Raw genomic sequence first — 19,328 nt, 5'->3', positions numbered from 1 at the left:
AGCAGCTGGGATTACGGGTTGGCACCACCACGCCCAGCTAATTTTTGTATTTTTAGTAGAGATAGGGTTTTGCCATGTTGGCCAGGCTGGTCTTGAACTCCTGGCCTCAGGTGACCCGCCCACCTCGGCCCCCCAAAGTGCTGGGATTACAGGTGTGAGCCACCATGCCCGGCCACTTCTTTTCTTACCATTTAATTACCCTAAGTTATATACAAGTCATATACTAGATGTATTTATGGTGTCTTGTAAGTATGTAAATCCTTTTCTTTTTCCCACTAGAATTTCAGCTCCATGATGGAGGGATTTAGCTATGTTTTGCTCACTTATGTACTCAGAACATTTAGACCAGGGGTCAGCAAAGTTTTTCTGTAAAGAGCCAGATTGTAAATTTTTTAGGCTTTGCAGGCCCTGCAGTCTCTGCCACCATTTCTCACATCTATCATGGGAGTGCAAAGGCAGCCATAACAAATACATAAATGAGGCTGAGCGTGATGGCTCACACATATAATCCCAGCACTTTGAGAGGCCGAGGTGGGAGGATTGCTTGAGCCCAGGAGTTCGAGACCAGCCTGGCCACCAGGGACTAACCTTTAGTGAGAAAGTCAGGTTTATTCATTTATTGAAAACAAGGAAAGGCTGGATGGTGGCTCACGCCTATAATCCCAGCACTTTGGGAGGCCGAGGCTGGGGGATCACTTGAAGCTAGGAGTTCAAGACCAGCTGGGGCAACATGGCAAAACCCCATCTCCACAAACAATACAAAAATTAGCCAAGCATGGTGGTACATGCCTGTATTCCCAGCTACTCGGGAGGCTGAGGTGGGAGGATTGCTTGAGCCCAGGAGGTAGAGGTTCTACTGAGCTGTGATTGCACCACTGCACTGCAGCCTGGGCAACAGAGTGAGACCCTGTCTCAAAAAAAAAAAAAAAAAAAAAAGGAGGGAGAGGGACACCAGAGCAACTGAGCAGCTGTGGGTTGCTTCACCAAACAAAGGCAAAAATTAACTTCTAAAGTTTAGTAAATGTGGACCACTTTGTTCAGGGAACCCTTATCTGAATTGCTGTGCCTGGGTATCCAACTGCCCAGATCCTCCAAGCAAGAAGAAAAAATTTCATTTGTACTGACATATTTTCTTTTCTTTTCTTTTTTCTTTTCTTTTTTTTTTTTTTTTTTTTTTTTGAGACAGAGTTTTGGTCTTGTCGCCCAGACTGAAGTACAATGGCACGATCTCAGTTCACTGCAACCTCTACCTCCCAGGGTCAAGCAGTTCTGCCTCAGCCTCCCAAGTAGCTGCAATTACAGGCACCCGCCACCATGCCTGGCTAACTTAAGTGTTTTTAGTAGAGACGGGGGTTTCACCATGTTGGTCAGGCTGGTCTCGAACTCCTGACCTCAGGTGATCCACCTGCCTTGGCCTCCCAAAGTGCTGGGATTACAGGCGTGAGCCACTGCACCCGGCCTGCACTGATATATTTTCAAACTGCAAATTATCTATGATTTCCTGGAACAAAGTTTCTCAGCAAGTCAGAAAGCAGTGGTTCACAGTAGGAAGTCACCATGGCACTTGACAGCTGCAGTGTCCTTGGGAGAAATATTATTTCCTGTTATCTTTGCAGATATCTTTGTCTGGTTTTGAGGGGTTTTATTTTTTTCTGGAGAAGGTCTTGCTCTGTTGTTCATGCTGGAGTGCAGAGTGCAGTGGTGTGATCATAGCTCACTGCAGCCTCGAACTCCTGGGCTCAAGCAATCCTCCTGGCTCAAGCGATCTGCCTGCCTCAGGCTCCCAAAGTGCTGCGATTACAGGTGTGAGCCACCATGCTTGGCCTGTTTGTTTGTTTGTTTCTTTGAGACAGGGTTTCCCTCTGTCACCCAGGCTGGAGTGGCATGGCATGATCAGAGCTCACGACAGCCTCATACTCCTGGGATCAAGGGATCTTCTTGCCTCAACCTTCCTAGTAGCTGGGACCACAGGCACGTGCCACCATGCCTAGCTAATTTTTGTATTTTTCTTTGTAGATATGGTGTTTTGTCATTTTGCCCAGGCTGGTGTCAAACTCCTGGGCTCAAGCAATCCTCCTGCCGCGGCTTCCCAAAGCTCCGGAATTACAGGTTTGAGCCAACATACCTGACCCATTGCAGGATGTTTTAGCCTCATTCCTGGCCCCTACCCACCAAATGCCAGGAATGTACCTGCACACACACCCTGACGTTGTGACAACCAAAAATGCCTCCCTACGTTGCCAAATGTCCCCTGGGAGGGCAAACTCGACCTGGTTGAGAATCATTGCTGGATAGGACCTCAGACTGGAAAGGGACATGATTTGATGTACAGTTTTGAAAGGCCATTCCCTGTGCCCAAAATGTGTTCCCAGCCTTAGACAATGAGTGCATTGCATTCATCTGGACACAGTGATTGGTTCAAAGAGATCATGTGACCTAGTCACAGCCCAAGAGTCACAATGTAATTTGGGCTAAGAATCTGGGGAAAGAAGCCAGGTGCGGTGGCTCACGCCTGTAATCCCAGCACTTTGGGAGGCCAAGGCGAGCAGATCACCTGAGGTCAGGAGCTCCAGACCAGCCTGGCCAACATGATGAAACCCCGTCTCTATTAAAAATACAAAAATTAGCCGGACGTGCTAGCGCATGCCTGTAATCCCAGCTACTCGGGAGGCTGAGGCATGAGAATCGCTTGAACCCAGGAGGCAGAGGTTGCAGCGAGCCCAGATGGTGTCAATGCACTCCAGCCTGGGGCAACAGAGTGAGACTTCGTCTTTAAAAAAAAAAAAAGAATATGGGGAAAGAGAGTCTTGCTTCTGACTCCTCTCACTGGAAGTCTGAGGGGACCCAGGTACCTGAATGACATCCATCGTGTCCCTGCTACATGAAGCCTGAGGCTGGGGCCAACAAACGGCAAGCAGAAGTCAAGAAAGGGAGAAAAACAGACTCATGATGGCTTCATTTGCATCCTGGATTCAGCCCTACCCATGAACGTTTTATTTACAGGATCCCCAAATTCAGACTTTCAGATCTTTTACCAAAAATGGCCTAACTGTCATGAGAGACCTTGGGCTTGGGCTTCAGTCTTCCTCATAGCTCTGCTCTGCGTGGACTTTCCCTGCCAAGCCCAAATCCTCACCTTCAAATTCTGCCAGTTTCAGTGCCTCATGCCTGTAATCCCAGCACGTTGGGAGGGTGAGGGAGGCAGATCACTTGAGGTCAGGAGTTCCAGACCAGCCTGGGCAACATAAGGAGACCCCTGTCTTTATTTAAACAAAAAACAAAACGAATAGAAAAGAGACCAGGTGCAGTGGTGGCTCACTCTTGTAATCCCAACACTTTGGGAGGCCAAGGTGGGCAGATCACTTGAGGTCAGGCATTCGAGACCAGCCTGGCCAAAATGGCAAAACCCCATCTCTACTAAAAATACAAAAATTAGCTGCGCGTGGTGGTGCATGCCTGTAGTCCCAGCTACTCAACAGGCTGAGGCAGGATAATCACTTGAACCCGGGAGGCGGAGGTTGCAGTGAGCCAAGATCGTGCCACTGCACTCCAGCCTGGGCGACAGAGCGAGCCTTTGTCTCAAAAAAAAAAAAAACAAAAAAACAAAAAACAAAACAAAAAACCCTGAAAATGTCAATTATATATGGAATATCAGTAGCACAATGTATGGCTGTTGTAACATGGTACCGAAGTCCAAGATCAAAATGCTGGTAGATTCAAGTGTCTGGAGAGGACCTGCTTTTCTAGATAGCTGTCTTTTCACTGTGCCTTCCTATGATAAGTGGCAGGGGATCTCTCTGGGGTCCTTTTTATTTATTTATTATTATTTCAATTTTAAGTGGAGATGTCGTCTCACTATGTTGCCCAGGCTGGTCTCAAACCACTGGGCTCAAGCGATCTCAACACTTTGGGGGCCTTGGTAGCTGAACCATTACAAGCGTGAGCCACCACATCCAGCCTGGGGTCCCTTTTATAAGGGCACTAATCCCAGTCATGAGAACTCCACTGTCAAGACCTAATCATCTCTCAAAGGCTCACCTCCTAATACCATCACCTTAGGGGTTAGGATTTCAACATATGAATTTTGGGGGATATAAACATTCAGAATATAGCATGGAGACTGTAGTGAGTTAAAACTGAAAACTGCTTAGAATTCAGTTTAAAGAAAAGTTACACTCCTCCCACCCCATAAAGCAAGTGAACTGTATTGATCCCAACCACAAAAATTAGACATTCTAGATGAATGTCTTTGAGAAAATGAATGAGAGAGGGTCCAGATGTAGCAAGAGACAGAGTAGAAGAAGGAGTGAGAAATCAATGCAACTATCAACAGGAGAATTCAATGAGAGGCACTTAAGAATGGTGAGATCCCTGGCTGGTCGTGATGGCTCACACCTGGAATGCCAGCACTTTGAGAGGCTGAGGTGGGTGGATTACTTGAGCTCAGCAGTTGGAGACCAGCCTGAGCAACATGGCAAAACCCCGTCTCTACCAAAAATAGACAAAAAAAATTAGCCAGCTGTGGTGGTGCACACCTTTGGTCCCAGCTACTTTGGAAGCTGGGAGGATCACTTGAGCCTGGGAAGTTGACGCTGCAGTGAGCCACAATGGCATCACTGCACTCCAGTCTGGGTGACAGAGCAAAACCCTGTCTCAAAAAAATGAAAATAAAAATAAAAAAGGGTTGGGTGCGGTGGCTCACGCCTGTAACCCCAGCACTTTGGGAGGCTGAGGCTGGCGGATCACTTGAGATCAGGAGTTCGAGACCAGCCTGGCCAACATGGCGAAACCCAGTCTCTACTAAAAATACAAAAATTAGTTGGGCATAGTGGTGGGTGCCTGTAATCCCAGCTACTCAAGAGGCCGAAGCAGGAGAATCACTTGAACCCAGGAGGCAGAGGTTGCAGTGAGCCGAGATCACGTCACTGCCTGGGCCTGGGACAGCCTGGGCCTGGGTGACAAAGCAAGGCTGCGTCTCAAATAAAAAAGAAGAAAATTTGAGTTGCTCAACACACATGTTCCTATCTGAGGTTGAATGAGGCCACACCCTGACTTCTTGTTTCAGCTGTCCTATTGTAAATGTCCTTTTTTTTTTTTTCTTTTTTTGAGATGGAGTCTCACTCTGTCTTCCAGGTTGGAGTGCAGTGGCTCGATCTCAGCTCACTGCAACCTCTGCCTCCTGGGTTTGAGCAATCCTCCTGTCTCAGCCTCCCGAGTGGCTGGGATTACACGTGCCCACCACCACGCCCAGCTATTTTTTGTATTTTTTGTAGCGACGGGGTTTCACCATATTGGTCAGGCTGGTCTTGAACTCTTGACCTCAGGTGATCCACCCACCTCGGCCTCCCAATGTGCTGAGATTACAGGCGTGAGCCACTGCGCCAGGCCACAAATGTCCTTTTTGCAGCATTTGTGTGCCATAGGTTTCACATTTCTGTGGTATTTATTATTGATTTTGCTGTTTGAAATGGCCCCCAAGCATAGCACTGAAGTGCTATCTGGTGTTCCTAAGAAAATACATGTTTTGGGTCCGGCGCGGTGAATAGTGCCTCTGTCGACATGTGTGTATGTGCATCTATGTGAGTGCATGTTTTCATTTATTTTGTGAATATTCTAGGAGTAGAATTGCTGAGATATATGGTAATTCTGTGTTTAACTTTTTGACGAATCATTAAACAGTTTTTCTCAGCAGCTGAACCATTTTGCATTTCCACCAGCAATGCATGAGTGTTCCAATATCTCCACATTCCTGTCAGCATTTGTTATTTTCTGCATATTTACTTATTTATTTATTTATGTAATTTAGAGATAGGATCTCACCCTATTGCTCTGGCTAGAATGCAGTGGCATGATCATAGCTCACTACAACCTCAAACTCCTGGGTTCAATCCTCCCGACTCAGTTTCCCAAGTAGCTAGAACCACAGGGGTGTGCCACCACTCCCAGCTAATTTTTTAATTTTTTGGAGAGATGGCAGTCTTGCTATGTCGCCCAGGCTGGTCTCAAACTCCCGGACTTAAGTGATCCTCCTGCCTTGGCATCCCAGAGTGCTGGCATGAGTCACTGTTCCCAGCTGCACCCCCCAATACACACACTTTAAAAAAAAATTGTAGCTGTCCTAGTGTGTGTGAATTGAGACCTCACTGTGGTTTTTGTCTGTGTTTCTCTAAAGACTAATGATGTTGAACATCTTTTTATGTGCCTGTTGGTGATTTACGTATCTTCTAGGAATGTCTATTCAAGTCCTTTGTTCATATTTGTTTCCCTTTTTTATTGCTGCCGCACAAATTAACTTTGTTCATGTTTTAATTACATTAAAACATAGACTTTTATCAGATACATGGTGTGCACATATTTTCTCCCATTCTGTACATTGTCTTTTTACTTTCTTAATAATATCCTTCAATGCACAAAAGTTTTTAATTTGATGAAGTCTAATTTGTCTATTTTTCTTTTTTGGCTTGTACTTTTGGTGTCATATCTAAGAATTAATTGCCAAGTCCAAGATCATGAAAATTCATCCTTGTGTTTTCTTCTGAGAGTTTTATAGTTTTAGTTCTTATATTTATAATAATTTTTAAGGTAATTGCAAGGTTAGGGTCCAACTTCATCCTTTTGTACATGTTTATCCAGTGGTCCTAGGACAATTTTTTTAAAAGGCTATTCTTTCTCCCATTGAATTGTCTTAGCACACCTGTCAAAAATCAATTGACCATAATTGTATAGGTTTATTTGTGGACTCTCAATTCTATTTCATTGGTTTATATGTCTGTTCTTAAGCTAATACCACACTGTTTTGATTACTGTAGCTTTGTAGTAAGCTTTAAAATCAAGAAATATGAGCCCTCCAACTTTGTTCTTCTTTTTTTCAAGAATGTTGTGGCTGTTTGGAGTCTTTTACAATTCCATGTGAATTTGAGAATCAGCCTTTCCACTTCTGCAGAAAAGACCAATGAAATTGCATTAAATCTGTTGATTGCTTTGGGTAGTATTGACATCTTAACAATATTGAGTCTTCTAATCCATGCACATGGGATGTTTTTCTATTTGTTTAGGTCTTCCTTAATGTCTTTCAGCAATGTTTCATGGCTTTCAGTGTACAAATTTTGAACATCTTTTGTTAAATTTATTACCAAGTATTTTTATTGTTTTTGGTGCTATTGCAAGTGGATTGTCTTAATTTTCTTTCCTTAGTTTAATTTTCAGGTTGTTCGTTTACAGGTTGTTCACAGAATAATTGTTCAATTATTCTCTGAATAATTCTAACCAGGCCAGGCATGTTGGCTCACGCCTGTAATCCCAGCACTTTGGGAGGCCAAGGCAGGTGGATAACCTGAGGTGAGGAGTCCAAGACAAGCCTGGCCAACATAGTGAAGCCCCATTTCTACTAAAAGTATAAAAAATTAACTGGGCATGATGGTGCATGCCTGTAATCCCAGCTACTTGGGAGGCTGAGACAGAAGAATCTCTTGATCCAGGGAGGCAGAGGCTGCAGTGAGCCGAGATCATAACACTGCACTCCAGCCTGGGCAACAGAGTGAGACTCTGTCTCAAATAATAATAATAATTCTAACCAATGAAGTATGATTGGCAAAGACGTGTGTCATTTTCAATCATACCTCATTGGTTAGAATTTTTTTATTTTTATTTTATTTTCTTTTTGAGATGGAATTTCACTTTTGTTGCCCAGTCTGGGGTGCAATGGCATGATCTCAGCTCCGGGTTCAAGCGATTCTCCTCCCTCAGCCTCCCAAGTAGCTGGGATTACAGGCATGCACTGCCATGCCCAGCTAATTTTTGTATTTTTAGTAGAAATGGGGTTTCGCCATGTTGGCCAGGCTGGTCTCAAACTCCTGACTTCAGGTGATCCACCTGCCTCAGCATCCCAAAGTGCTGGGGTTACAGGCATAAGCTACCATGCCCAGCCTTGGTTAGAATTATTCACAGGGTCAGGTATGACTACCACAACCTTCAATGAGGAGATTGCAGAATTCTTCTCTGAAATTCCTGGCTTCAAACGATCCTCCTATTGGCTTCCCAAAGTGCTGGTATTACGGGTGTAAGCCACTGCACCCGACCAGTATATCTTTTAAAAGAAACATTCAGGGAACAAAAAGGAGCTCTCAGAAATTAAGAAAGCAAGAAGTAAAAAAAGAAAAGGGAAGAAGAAAGAAATTGCTGAAATCTTGCAGAGATCAGAGAAAATGGAGAACATTAGAAGGTCACACAAAAAGATCCCACATCTAAATAATAAGCATTTCAGAAAAATAAAACTGACAAAACACAGGAAAAAAAGCTGTAGATGAAATAATAAGAGAAAAAATTTCGGAACTTACAGGTGTGATAATTTTGCACTCCAGCCTGGGTGACAGGGTGAGACTCTGTCAAAAAAACAAAACAAAACAAAACAATTGACCATAGATGTATGGGTTATTTCCAGACTCTCGATTCTATTCCACTAATCTATATGCCTATCTTCCTACCAATACCAAACTTTTCGATTATTGTTGCTTTGTAGTAAATTCTGAAGTCACCAAGTGTGAGTCTTCCAACTCTGCTCATTTTTCAAGATTGGCTGTTGGGTGCGATACCATGTGAATTTTAGGTTTGAATTTTCCAGGTCTGCAAACAAGGACATTGGGATTTTCATAGAGATTACATCAAGTCTATAGATCACTTTGGAGTAGTATCGCCATCTTAACAATATTGAGTCTTCCAATACATAAACGTGTATTTTTAGAGATATATGGCATGGCATTTAAAGTAATCTATCATGATCTGTGTAACTTCCTCTAAAGTATTTCAACAGACCACAATAAGATATTACTCTAATTGTGCTAGAATGGCTATAATGGAAAAGTAAACAACAGCGTCAAAAAGGAATGTGGGTTCTGGTTTGTCTTCCTCTCCCTAACTTGATGTCTAGCTTTTTTTTTTCTTTGAGATGGAGTCTCGCTCTGTTGCCAGGCTGGAGTGCAGTGGCACAATCTCGACTCACTGCAACCATTGCCTCCTGGGTTCAAGCGATTCTCTTCCCTCAGCCTCCCAAGTAGCTGGGACTACAGGCACCCACCACCATGCCCAGCTAATTTTTGTATTTTTATTAGAGACGGGGTTTCACCATGTTGGCCAGGCTGGTCTCAAACTCCTGATCTCAGATGATCCACCTGCCTCGGCCTCCCAAAGTGTTGGGATTACAGGCGTGAGCCACTGCGCCCAGCCCACAGTTCATTTTTGGTTTTGTTTTTTCCTCCCAAGAGTGTCTTGGGTAGTTTGACTCCCTTTTATTCCCCTATCAGTTTTGGAATCAGATTGTCAAGTTCTGCAAAAAAAAAAAAAAAAAAAAAAAGGCTGAGCTTTTCATTGGGATTAAATTTGATCTATGAATCAATACAAGAGTTGGCGCCTTCAAATCTAGGCTCTTCCAATCAATGAACATGTATATCTCTCCATTTATTTAGGTCTTCTTTACTGTCTCTCAACAAAATTTTTTAATAGTTTTTATAGAGGTTCTGTAAGTCCTGTATGAGATGTTATATCTTACCAGGTACTCCCTGGGTACAAGAGGGAGAGTTGCTTTTCACCCTTTTGAACTGTTTGAAGTTTTTTCTAACCACATGCATATATTTTTCAAAATAAAAATTATTAAGATTTTTGGCCCTTCTGTCTGGCGGCAGCAATCAGGTAAGCCAAGATGGGTGCATACAAGTACATCCACGAGCTGTGGAGGAAGAAGCAGTCTGATGTCATGAGCTTTCTTCTGAGGGTCCGCTGCTGGCAGTACCGCCAGCTCTCTGCTCTCCACAGGGCTCCCCGCCCCACCCGGCCCGATAAAGTGCACCAACTGGGCTACAAGATCAAGCAAGGTTATGTTATCTACGGGATTCGTATTCTCCGTGATGGCCGAAAATGCTCAGTTCCTAAGGGTGCAACTTACGGCAAGCCTGTCCATCATGGTATTAACTGAAGCCTACAGTTGATTGCAGAGGAGTGAGTTGGACGCCACTGTGGGGCTCTAAGAGTCCTGAATTCTTACTGGATGGGTGAAGATTCCACACACAAATTTTTTGAGGTTATCCTCATTGATCCATTCCATAAAGCTATTGGAAGAAATCCTGACACCCAGTGGATCACCAAACCAGTCCACAAGCACAAGGAGATGCGTGGGCTGGCATGTGCAGGCCAAAAGAGCCATGGCCTTGGAAAGGGCCGTAAGTTCCACCACACTATTGGTGGTTCTTGCCGGGCAGCTTGGAGAAGGCGCAATACTCTCAATCTCCACTGTTACCACTAATATAAGTAAAGTTTGTAAAACTCATACCTAATAAACAATTTAGGACAGTCAAAAAAATTACTAAGATTTTTGAGCCAGGTGCAGTGGCTCAAGCCTGTAATCCCAGCACTTTGGGAGGCCGAGGCTGGCAGATCACCGGAGGTCAGGAGTTCGAGACCAGCCTGGCCAACGTGGCGAAACCCTGTCTCTACTAAAAATACAAAAATTAGCTGGGTGTGGTGGTGCACAAGTGTTATTCCAGCTACTCAGGAGGTGGAGGCAGGAGAACCGCTTGAACCCGGGAGGCAGATGTTGAAGTGAGCTGAGATTGCGCCACTGCACTCCAGCATGGGTGATAGAGTGAGACTCCATCACAAAAAAAAAAAAAAAAAAAATTATTAACATTTTTGAATCAGCACTCTATTATCATTGTTTACACATCAAAACTATCAGTAGGCATACAGTGGAAAGTCTCTCTCCCACTCCTGGACCTATTCACAATATTCCCAATCCTTCCTTCTCAATAGGTAATGGCTATAAATTAATATCTTCTTTATCCTTCCAGAATTCTTCACGCACATGTCCTTAAATGTATACTTTCTCTCGTCTCAAGATAAATGCCATAGACTGTGTGTCTTTTTGCAGAATCTCTTGCAAGACTCTGTGAACACAGTGAGAAAACATGGACCCAGGAACTGTTCCTTACATTCAGCTGAAGCTGAGTCTGCAAGTCCCAATGCATGCCAATAAAGAAAGTTCTGCAGGCCAGGTGTGGTGGCCCATGCCTGTAATCCCACCATTTTGGGAGGTCAAGGTGGGCAGATCAACTGAGGTCAGGAGTTCAAGAGCAGCCTGGCCAATATGGTGAAACCATGTCTCTACTAAAAATACAAAAAATTAGCCGGGCATGGTGGCATGCACCTGTAATCCCCGCTACTCAGGAGGGTGAGGCAGGAGAATCACTTGAACCCGGGAGGCAGAGGTTTCAGTGAGTCGAGATTGTGCTAGCCTAGGCGACAGAGCGAGACTCCGTCTCAAAAAAAAAAAAAAAAAAGGAAAGCTCTGCAGAGTTCTCCAGGGTTACACTCTGTTCTCTGCACTACACCCCCAACTTTTTTTTTTTTTTTTTTTGAGACGGAGTTTCACTCTTGTTGCCCAGGCTGGAATGCAATGGTGTGATCTCGACTCACCGCAACCTCCACCTCCCAGGTTCAAGCAATTCTCCTGCCTCAGCCTTCCAAGTAGCTGGGATTACAGGTGTGTGCCACCATGCCTGGTTAATTTTGTGTTTTTTAGTACAGACAGGGTTTCACCATGTTGGCCAGGCTGGTCTCAAACCCCTGACCTCGTGATCCGCACACCTGGCCTCCCAAAGTGCTGGGATTACAAGCGTGAGCCACTGCACCCGGCCTGCATTGCACTTTTTAATTTTTGATCACCATTTATTAAGTTACAAAGAGCCAGGCCCAGTGCTGCGCTAAGCACTTTACATATTTGGCATGTTTTTTCTTTTTTACTCCTTCCAGCAGCCAGGGCCTATGAACTTACAGAAGGCATGATGCCTAAGGCCCACAATACTTTTAGGGCCCCATGAAAATGTTTTACTTCTTTTAAAATCAGAAGAAAAAATAAACATAACCCTGCCTTTATTACATATATATATTATTTTTAGTTTTTAGTTTTTGGTATTTTTGAGCAGGAGCTCTGGCGCCCAGGCTGGAGTGCAGTGGCACAATCATGGCTCACTGCAGCCTTGACCCCCTGGGCTCAGGCAGTCTTCCCACCTCAGCCTCCCGAGGAGCTGGGACCACAGGTACATGCCACCACTTCCGGCTAATTTTTATATTTTTTATTTTTTGTAGAGAAAGGGTCTTGCCATGTTGCCCAGGCTGTTCTTGAACTCTTGGGATGAAGTAATTCTCCCACTTTGGCCTCCCAAAGTGCTGGGATTTCAGGCATGAGCCACTGCACCAGGCCTTGTTATATTCATCCTTATACTAACACAGTCATAAAATATGATTTAAAACACTTTTTTTCTTATGGAGGAAGGAACCCACCAAAAAAATCCATGTGACTGAGTGTGGTGCCGGGTGTCTGTAGTCCTAGCTACCAGGAGGCTGAGGCAAGAGAATCACCTGAACCTGGGAAGCGGAGGTTGCAGTGAGCCGAGATCATGCCACTGCACTTCAGCCTGGGTGACAGAGTAAGACTCTGTCTCAAAAAAAAAAAAAAAAAAAAAAAAAAAAAAGGCCAGCAGTGGCGCACACTTGTAATCCCAGCACTTTGGGAGACCAAGGCGGGTGGACCACCTGAGGTCAGGAGTTCGAGACCAGCCTGGCCAACATGGTGAAACCCCGACTCTACTAAAAATACAAAAAATTAGCTGGGCATGGTGGCAGGTGCCTGTAATCCCAGCTACTCGGGAGGCTGAAGCAGGAAAAATCAGTTGAACCCAGGAGGCGGAGGTTGTAGTGAACCAAGACTGTGCCACTGTACTCCAGCCTGGGCAATAAGAGCAAAACTCTGTCTCAAAAAGAAAAAAAATCATAATGTGGCCAAACCAGCAACCCTATGACATGGGTATTATTGCTATGCAGTTTATCCAAGGGAGGAAACTAGTCTGAGAAGTGATTTAGCCCAGGTCAGGTGGCTGGAAGGGGTGGGAACATGGCCTTGAACCCAAGCCTAGTGACTCTAAAGCTCTTATGCTGGGCCACTCAGCTGAAGAGACTCCAGTCAGCACTTTCCTATGGAAGGGACGTGTTTGGTCACAACTGGGAAGTTGTACCCCACAAAAAGAAGGCTCTGGGGAAATGTGATACAGTCTTCAAATATTTTAAGGGCTGTCATGTGGAAAAGGATTAGCTCTTTTGTGTTACTTCCCAGAGCTGAGCTAGGATAGGTGGGGTGTGTTGCAGGAAAGGTAGGGTGTGTGTGTGTGTGTGCGCGCGCGCGTGTGCGTGTGCGTGTGCGTGTGTGTGTGTCTCGCTCTGTTACCCAGACTGGAGTGCAGTGCAGTGATCGCCACTCACTGCAACCTCCGCCTCCTGGGTTCAAGTGATTCTCCTGCCTCAGCCTTCCGAGTAGCTGGGACTACAGGCATGCACTACCACACCCAGCTAGTTTTTGTATTTATAGTAGAGATGGGGTTTCGCAATGTTGGCCAGGCTGGTCTCTGGCTCCTGACCTTAGGTGATCCACCCTACTCAGCCTCCCAAAGTCCTGGGATCACAGGCGTGAGCCACCGGGCCCCACCAGGAAAGTAGATTTTGGCCCAGTGATATAACAAACTTACTGGATGTGATAAGCCCACTGTCAGTGGTGGTTTATTCTTAAGATCAAAGATGTGGAGTTTGACCCCAGTCACAGACAACAGCGTTGTAAACAAGGCTGTATTGCAGGGGATTGCTGCCTTGGGAGGGGAGTTGGACAAGAATTCGATGGATTTTTATGTCCCTTTCAACTCTAAGATTCTATGTTTGCAGGGCCCAGCACGGTGGCTCACGCCTGTAATCCCAGCACTTTGGGAAGCCAAGGCGGGCAGATCACCTGAGGTCGGGAATTCGAGACCATCCTGGCCAACATGGTGAAACCCTGTCTCTACTAAAAATACAAAATTAGCTGGGCATGGTGGCGTACTCCTGTAATCCCAGCTAGTCGGGAAGCTGAGGCAGGAGGATCACTTAAAGCCGGGAAGCAAGGGTTGCAGTGAGCCTTGATAGCGCCATTGCACTCCAGTCTCGGTGACAAAGCGAGACTCTGTCTCAGAAGAAAAAAAAAAAAAAGATTCTATGGTTGCAAATAGCAGCAGCTCAGCAGTGTAGAGTTGAATTCCCCACCAAACCAATTTTACCAATTGTTATTGAGACTTTTTATGTACCATTGGTGGGAGTATGAATGGATACTCTTTTGAAAGTGTTATTTGGCAGTATTTATTAAAATTTAGACTATTTGGGCCGGGCGCAGTGGCTCACGCCTGTGATCCCAGTACTTTGGGAGGCTGAGGCGGGCAGATCGACTAAGGTCAGGAGTTCGAGACCAGCCTGACCAACATGGTGAAACTCTGTCTCTACTAAAAACTACAAAAAGTAGACCCAGGCGTGGTGGCTCACACCTGTAATTCCAGCACTTTGGGAGGCTGAGGCGGGCAGATCACCTGAGGTCGGTTGTTCAGCCTGACCAACATGGAGAAACCCCATCTCTACTAAAAACACAAAATTAGCTGGGCGTGGTGGCGCATACCTGTAATCCCAGCTATTCGGGAGGCTGAGGCAGGAGGATTACCTGAATCTGGGAAGCGGAGGTTGTGGTGAGCAGAGATGGCGCCATTGCACTACAGCCTGGGAAGCAAGAGCAAAACTCCGTCTCAAAAAGAAAAAAAAAAAAACTACAAAATGTAGCCAGGCATAGTGGTGGGTGCCTATAATCCCAGCTACTTGGGAGGCTTGAGGCAGGAGAATGGCTACAACCTGGGAGGCGGAGGTTGTAGTGGGCTGAGAATGTGCCATTGCATTCCAGCCTGGGCGACAGAGTGAAACTGTTTAAAAAAAAAAAAATTTCGACTCTTCAGGCAGGGCACGGTGGTTCTTGCCTGTAGTCCCAGCAATTTGGGAGGCCAAGGCGGGCGGATCACGAGGTCAGAAGTTCGAGACCAGCCTGGCCAATATGGTGAAACCCTATCTATACTAAAAATACAAAAAGTTAGCTGGGCATGGTGGTATATGCCTGTAATCCCAGCTACTCGGGAGGCTGAGGCAGGAGAATCGCTTGAACCCAGGAGGCAGAGGTTGCAATGAGCCGAAACCGTGCCATTGCATTCTAGCCTGGGCAACAGAGCGAGACTTTGTCTCAAAAAAAAAAAATTAGACTGTTTATACTTTTTGACTTAGCAATACTTTTTTTTTTTTGAAACAGAGTCTTGCTCTACCGCCCAGGCTGGAGTACGATGGTGCAATCTCAGCTCACTACAACCTTCCCTCCCAGGTTCAAGCAAATCCCCTGCCTCAGCCTCCCGAGTAGCTGGGCTACAGGCACGCACCACCACACCTGGCTAACTTTTTTGTATTTTTGTAAAGATGGGGTTTCGCCACGTTGGCCAGGCTGGTATTGAACTCCTGACCTCAGGTAATCCACCTGCTTCAGCCTCCCAAAGTGCTGGGATTATAGGCATGAGCCACTGCACACGGCCTAACAAACATACTTAATAAGTAAATCATGGAGTGGGTAGCAGGTGAGAAAGGCTGTGACGAGAACTTGCGATGCGGGGTGGAGGTGGTGGAGGGTTGCAATTTTAAGCAGAGTGGTCAGGGTAGGCCTCACAGAGAAGGTGATATTTGAGCAAAGCATTAAAGATCATGAATAGGACACCTCCCACTCTTGTTCTAAGGTGGAAATTCACCAGGAGTTACTTTTTCCTTTTTCTTTGTTTTAGAGGCAGAGTTCTCACTATATTGCCCAGGCTGGTCTTGATCTCCTGAGCTCAAGCGATCCACCCACCTCAGCCTCCCAAAGTGCTGGGATTACAGGTGTGAATCACTGCACCCAGCACTGGGAGACACTTGTGAGGTGCCTGGCATCCAGCAGGCTCTGAAGGACGGTCGCTATTATTGTTCATTTTAGTCCTGAAATGAACAGGAGCTCTCAAAGCGCTTACCTAAGGAAGATGTCTAAGAGCATTGCAGTTTGCAAATGAAGAGTGGGCAGGGTTTGGGTTATGGTAACTGTTTTATCTGCCTCCCCAGAAAGGAAACAAAGTATCTGGTCAGCGGGGAAGGTTTCCACCTGTGCGCTCTGTTTGCCAGCGAGCCTGCGGGCCCCTGTGGCAATCCACCCATTGTGTTTCCATCAGCGTAACTGCATGCGGGAGGCTCCTCTGCACTCTCAGTCCTTGAAACATCCCCCACAGGGCCTCCCCAATTAGGCAACGATAAAGCCATTGGTGTGGTCAGATCCCTCCTGGGACAGGATGTTAACCCTCAGCAGCTCCTGAACCATGGGAGCTGGTCCCTGTCAATGTCACGGAAACAGAACAAGAGGAGGCTTCAAAGAAATCAGTTGCCCGCACTCCCTGATTGCAACCAGGCCTTATCTAGTGCCTTTTAAAAATGGCCCTGACCCTTTCTTCTTATTTATTAAATTATTTATTTATTTATTTATTTTTGAGACAGGGTCTTGCTCTGCGGCCCAGGCTGGAGTGCAGTGACTCGATCTCTGCTCATTGCAACCTCCGCCTCCCAGATTCAAGCGATTCTCCTGCCTCAGCCTCCCAGTAGCTGCAATTACAGGTGCCTGCCACCACACCCGGCTAATTTCTGTATCTTTAGTAGAGACAGGGTTTTCCCATGTTGGCCAGGCTGGTCTCCAACTCTCTGGCCTCAAGTGATCTGGCCGCCTCAGCCTCCCAAAGTGCTGGGATTACAGGCCTGAGTTCCCGTGCTCGGTCTCTTATTACTTTTTAAAATGAGACAAGGCCCCACTCTGGTTTTGCCACGTTGCACAGGCTGGAGTGCAGTGGTGCGATCACGGCTCACTGCAGCTTCAACTTCCTGGGCTCAGCTGATTCTCCCAACTCAGCCTTTCAAGTAGCTGGTACTACAGGCACTCACCACCACGCCTGGCTAATTTTTGTATTTTTTGTAGAGTCGGGGGGCGGTGTCTTGCCATATTGCCCAAGCTGGGCTCGAACTCCTGGGCTCAAGCGATCCGCCCACCTCGACCTCCCCAAATGCTGGGATTACAGGCATGAGCCACCGTGCCTGGGCCCTGACCTCTTCTTCAGGGTAACAGATATCTGCTAGGATCTGCTGTGGCTTCTACGTTCCCTTAAGCAAAGAGACGTGCTTCTTCAAGGGAGAGGAGAAAAAATAGATTTCAACCCAAAGCCAGTATAAGCACCCCAAGAGAGGTCAATAAAATCTCAATTTGGAGGTGAGGAAAGCCTTTATTGGCACCCAGGACATTGGTGTTGGGATTAAGAGGACAGACTGGTGGGGTTTTGACACACACAAACGAAGGATGGTGTCTTAGGCACATGGCACAGCAAAGAAAAAGGCTTGCAGGCTGTAACTATGGGACATATTCAAGCTGTCCTAAGCAGTTCCTTTTGACTGAAGTATCATGATAAAGAAAATAATACATAATAGTAATAACAAACATTCTTTATATGCTTGAAACCACTTTTATAAAAATCATAGTAATAAGGGTAATTTAACATAATTGACTGGGCGCGGTGGCTCACGCCTGTAATCTCAACACTTTGGGAGGCTGAGGCGGGCAGATCACTTGAGGTCAGGGGTTCAAGACCAACCTGGCCAACATGGTGAAACCCTGTCTCTACTAAAAATAGAAAAATAAGCCAAGCATGTTGGTGCAAGCCTGTAGTCCCAGCTACTCCGGAGGCTGAGGCACTAGAATTGCTTGAACCAGGGGGGCAGAGGCTGCAGTGAGCTGAGATCAAGCCACTGCACTCAAGCCTGGGCAACAGAGTGAGACTCTGTCTCAAAAATACAAATTTAATATTATTGACTCTATCTTGTTTTCACTATGCTAAATTGTTTTTCTTTATTTTTGTATAGAGGCCACAGTACTCTTTTTTTTAGAAAATGAATTTTTTTGTTATTGTTTAATAATTAAAACCAGCCAGATGTGGTGGCTTAAGCCTGTAATTCCAACACTTTGGGAGGCTGAGGTATGAGGATCACTTGAGGCCAGGAGTTCAAGTCCTGCCTGGGCAACAAAGTGAGACACCATCTCTATAAAAAATTTTTAAAATTATCTGGGCATGGTGGTGCATGCCTGTAGTCCCAGCAACTCAGGAGGCTGAAGCGAGAGGATCAGTTAAGCCCAGGAATTTGAGGCTACAGTGAGCTATGATTATACCATTGCATTCCAGTCTGGGTGACAGAGTGAGACCTTGTCTCTAATAAATTAATTAATTAATAAAAATTTTAAAATTGACAGAAAGTCTTACAAGTCTATAAGATCTACTTCTGTCTGTTATGTCTATGTTTATATGTGCCATGAATATATAATATTTCACTACTGAAATATATTTTTAAAAGCTCTAATCAGTTGACTTAACCACTTAAATTGAATATTTCATCAAAAAATAAAAACTTTAAGTATCTTTTAGTTCACATGACTTTAATAATCTTTAGTAAATAAAGACAGTTTTTCAATTATTAGTAAAATAAAAACATCTTCAGAATGTGAACATTTGGTGTAAATTAGACAAGTCTGGTATTGTCTTTACTAAGACCTTTCAGGTCCTAAACTACTTTTATAAATTTTTTTCTTAGACTGGGACTCACTCTGTTGCCCAGGCTGGAGTACAGTGGCATGCTCACTGCAGCCTCAACCTCCCTGGGCTCAGGTGATCCTTCCACCTCAGCCTTCCAAGTAGTTGGGACTATAAGCACGTACCACCATGTCTAGCTCACTTGTGTATTTTTAGTGGAGATCGAGTTTTACCATGTTGGCCAGGCTGGTCTCTAACTCCTAGGTTCAAGGCGTCCACCAGCCTCTGCTCCCAAAGTGCTAGAATTATAAGCATGAGGCACCATGCCTGGCCCTTCTATAATATTTTAAATAATTGTTGGACTTGTCTATTTTAAAGCCCTTAGATTGTAGATAAGGCCTGGGGATGTGTAGAATTAACCATGTCCCCTGCCTATCCTAAAAAGCATCATATATTATTGACATATATTATTACTGTCCTAGACTCTGTACCTGGTACATAATTAAAATTGCCTACCTCCTTAGTTTTTCATTAAAAATAAAAGTCAGTAATGGCTGGATGCAGTGGCTCACGCCTGTAATCCCAGCACTTTGGGAGGCCAAGGCGGACAGATCACCTGATGTCAGCAGTTTGAGACCAGCCTGGCCAACATGGCGAAACCCTGTCTCTACTAAAAATACAGAAATTAGCTGGGCATGCATGGTGGTGCACACCTGTAGTCTGAGGTACTCGGGAGGCTGAGGCAAGAGAATTGCTTGAACCCGAGAGGCGGAGACTGCCTAAGAGTTAACATTATAATATATGTAATTAAAACTACTA

The 19,328-nt window shown here is 45.3% G+C and overlaps 1 long non-coding RNA gene and 1 pseudogene across 1 annotated transcript in view, besides 1 other annotated feature; both read left to right on the top strand.

Annotated features, from left to right (window-relative positions):
- Positions 1 to 19,328, top strand: part of LOC107984869 (uncharacterized) — a 46,624-nt gene that overhangs the window by 7,181 nt on the left and 20,115 nt on the right. The gene's annotated exons all lie outside the window — the stretch shown is intronic.
- On the top strand, positions 9,649 to 10,345 carry RPL15P20 (ribosomal protein L15 pseudogene 20; annotated as a pseudogene).
- Positions 16,904 to 17,405: an enhancer, noted in NCBI's record as "H3K4me1 hESC enhancer chr16:16018443-16018944 (GRCh37/hg19 assembly coordinates)". NCBI's record gives its function as "activates a minimal SCP1, AML or CMV promoter by ChIP-STARR-seq in naive H9 embryonic stem cells {active_cell/tissue: H9 hESC(naive)}" and the evidence as "EXISTENCE:reporter gene assay evidence [ECO:0000049][PMID:30033119]".

Source organism: Homo sapiens, chromosome 16, assembly GCF_000001405.40.
Source record: "Homo sapiens chromosome 16, GRCh38.p14 Primary Assembly".
Taxonomy (NCBI): Eukaryota; Metazoa; Chordata; class Mammalia; order Primates; family Hominidae; genus Homo; species Homo sapiens.
Note: the sequence above shows the minus strand (reverse complement) of the source record. Positions and strands in the feature narration are given on the sequence as shown.